Source organism: Homo sapiens, chromosome 8, assembly GCF_000001405.40.
Source record: "Homo sapiens chromosome 8, GRCh38.p14 Primary Assembly".
Classification (NCBI taxonomy): Eukaryota; Metazoa; Chordata; class Mammalia; order Primates; family Hominidae; genus Homo; species Homo sapiens.
Window position 1 is genome coordinate 133,642,340 of NC_000008.11, and position 3,385 is coordinate 133,645,724.

At 44.1% G+C, this 3,385-nt stretch overlaps 1 non-coding gene across 1 annotated transcript; it reads right to left on the reverse strand.

The window, feature by feature from the left end:
• Nucleotides 1-2,258: 2,258 nt before the first annotated feature.
• Nucleotides 2,259-2,386, reverse strand: LOC124900268 (small nucleolar RNA SNORA40). Its single transcript, XR_007061206.1, has one exon. It is a non-coding gene; the product is annotated as a small nucleolar RNA SNORA40 (small nucleolar RNA).
• Between the last annotated feature and the right edge of the window lie 999 nt (nucleotides 2,387-3,385).

Sequence of the window (3,385 nt, forward strand, 5' to 3'; positions counted from 1 at the left end):
CAGAAGATTTCCCTCCAGGTCTAAAATCTGGCATTTTCTATATTGCCAGGATTTCCAGAGTTTAGGCATTTTTAACTGAAACCCTGCCCAAGGGTACTAAAAGCTTCTTTAAGCATATGAGGTAGATATTTGCACACCAGTGTATACACACAAATGCAAGTCAATATTTTAAAACATTATTTCCTGTACGGGTCTTATAAATGACAAACATTCACCTCTCCTGGTAAGGAGCACCCATCCGTCGTTATTTGTAGCTCAGCAGAACACACACATTCTTGTGTGTCACTCATCAAAGCAAATTGCCTGTCCTTTCTTTTTTCTGACATTACCAAACTGTGATTTACGATAATAAAATATGCATTTTTCTATTGTGTAAGAATTTGGATGAAATCCCAGCATGGAGAACAAAGATTGATTTGAGCCCTGACATTCAGAAGGGAAGTACAGGCCCCACCTGTGGAAGGCGGAAGGGGCTGGTGCATGGCGGTGCCTTCCTACAGTGCAGGTAGGAGGAGGCCAGTGACTCATGAGGGACATTCCAAGAGGTCAAGAGGTGTTGATTCCTCTTGACCAAGGTGTCATTCCAAGGTGTCAAGAGGAGATCCAGAGTTGGGCTCTGAGAGAACCTCACTAGAGATAGGAGGAGGAGGAGAAAGGCGGCTGAGCACCATCAGGGCGGATGCTTGTGAGCCTCTGTACACCGGGTTGTGAGAGCATGGAGTACTGGAGAACCTGGCATACATGTCCCAGGGTCCTGGGGCAAACATGGAACACAGGCAGGTGGCACCTCTCACCTGGAGAAGGGAGAGGTTGGAGACAAGCGGAGCTGCGAGGAGACAAGGGGAGTGTTGTGTGAGCTGTATGAGGCAAGGATAGATAAATGGGTTTCCTGTGCAGCCTACTCAAAAGGGCTGCCCGCTAGGTGTGTGGAACCCACAAGAAGGTAGCTGCAGGGGGACTGGCCAAGACAGAAGCTGAATGCAGGTCCTCAAGTGTCAGGACATGGTTTGGTGCAGGGATGCTTGTCAGGGTCTCTAGAGAACCAGTTCAAGGGGCAGCAACTGTGAGCCTGACAAGCAGACACCCACTGCCCCAGCTAAGTGGAAAGACTTTTGTCTCTTCTGTCTTTCATCCTCATTCCTCTTAGCTCCTGACCCTGGAGGGCCCAGAGGCAGCAGAGAGAGTGGGAGCCGCAGCTAGGGGAGTGCCCAAACCCACTTGTCCCTGGCCTCTTGCTGCTGGTTCCCAAGGCAGAGGGCGGCCCGACTGACTCGATTTGCATGAGATAGAAGTTTAAATATTACTCTTAAGTAATATTTTTTATTTTTTTAAAGTTAAAGTCAATACATTTTTATTCAAGGAATTCCATGTTGTGATTTCTTCCACTGTCCATCAAAGTCACTTTAGATCCTCTAAAGAGCTGGAGTCAAAAGATTTATCTTCAAGTTAGCCCTTTTTAATGAAACTGAAGCTTATTTTAATCCAGTTGTCCTGTCAGTCCATAGTTCTTTTATTTCGGCTTCTTTCATCTCGTGTTAATATATAAATACTGATGAAGACTTCAAAATTCATCAAGAATCTTTGGGATCTATGTTCTTCAGCCAATTTACTTTAGAGTCATTTTTACTGTAGGTGGTGGATCTTCCTGGTTCTCAATTTGACACCCTCTCTTAACATGAATGAGTTCAAATTATATTCATTCCTAAGCGATCACACTCAAGAATAGTACAGATGTGTGGAATATGCCAATACCTTTAACTCCAGACATCATGTTCTGAAGATAAAAGCCTTTAAAACAAAAAGCCATGTATGTATCAAGTCAACATGAAATTGGAATACAAAATTAATACAGCTGAGGCGTTCCCTCATATCCCATGCTGTTTAACTATCTATTCTATAGTCCTAGAATCAATCTTTTCTTTTTTATTAAGAGACAGGGGCTGTCTGTTACCCAGGCTCCAGTACAGTGGTGCCATCAAAGCTCTGTGCAGCCTCCAACTCCTGGGCTCAATCCTCTTGCCTCAGCCTCCCCTTCCTGAGTAGCTAAAACTATAGGCACATGCCCTAATACTCAGCTAATTTTTAAATTTTTGTGGAGATGAGGTGTTTGTTACTTTCTTGCCCAGGCTATTCTTGAACTCCTGGCTTCAAGCAAAACTCCCACCTTGGTGTGGGGATTGCAGGCATGAGCCACTGTGCCTGTCCTGGAACCAACCTTTATGGCTATCAATACTCCCATCAGCTGTCTCAGGTATCATAATTTCCCTGGCTATATGTATTAAAACTCATACTGAACAATGAGTTCTGGGTTGCAAAAGAGGATTTATTTTTTGTACTTATCCATAAGTCTTTGTCCACAGTTTAAACAAAAACATACATAAGTGCAGAAGTAATATTTAAATATTACTCATCAAAGTACATTTCCTGTCTTTTTTCTCTAAAATTACTAAAATATGATTTACGATAACAAAATACTGTTTTTCTATTGTGTTAGAACTTGAATGAAATCCCAGCATGGAGAACAAAGATTGATCAGAACTCTTAACATTCAGGCTGGGCACAGTGGCTCACGCCTGTAATCCCAGCACTTTGGGAGGCTGAGGCAGTCGAATCACTTGAGGTCAGGAGTTCAAGACCAGCCTGGCCAATATGGTGAAACTCCGTCTCTACTAAAAATACAAAAATTAGCCGGTGTGGTGGACATGCACCTATAATCCCAGCTACTCAGGAGGCTGAGGCAGGAGAATCGTTTGAACTTGGTTCAAACATCCTCCCTCCGATGTTGCGGTGAACCAAGACTATGCCACTGCACTCCAGCCTAGGTGACAGAGTGAGACCCTGTCAAAAAAAAAAAAAAAAAAAAAGGAGCCCTGACATGCTGATATTCAGAAGAAAAGTGCAGGCCCCACCCATGGAAGGTGGAAGGGACTGTTCCCTGGTGGTGTCTTCCTACAGCACAGACAGGAGGAGACCAGTGACTCATGGTGGAGGCTCTGAACTATCAGCCTTAAGTAATACTTAACTTCCACCTCGAGCAAATTGAGCCAAGTCAGTCAGGCTGCCCTCTGACTCAGATGTTGTTCTTGAAGGGGAGCTCGAAGCCATGGTTTCTGCTGGAGCTGTCACTCGTGGGTGGGGTGGGGAGTGATGACAGGCTGCATCTGAAGAAGTCTATTTTGTAATTGTACCTTACCAAATTCAGCCATTCAACAGAGACATTACCAAATGTCGATCATAACAGCATCCACCCTGAATGAGTCTACTCTTTGGATGCTTCCAGCTTTAGGCTCTGGGATATTCAAACATGTCTATTATAGCATGTATCCATTTACAAAGTATGCATTTTTTTCATGCCCTCCTGAAACACGACTTTGACGATTCCAGT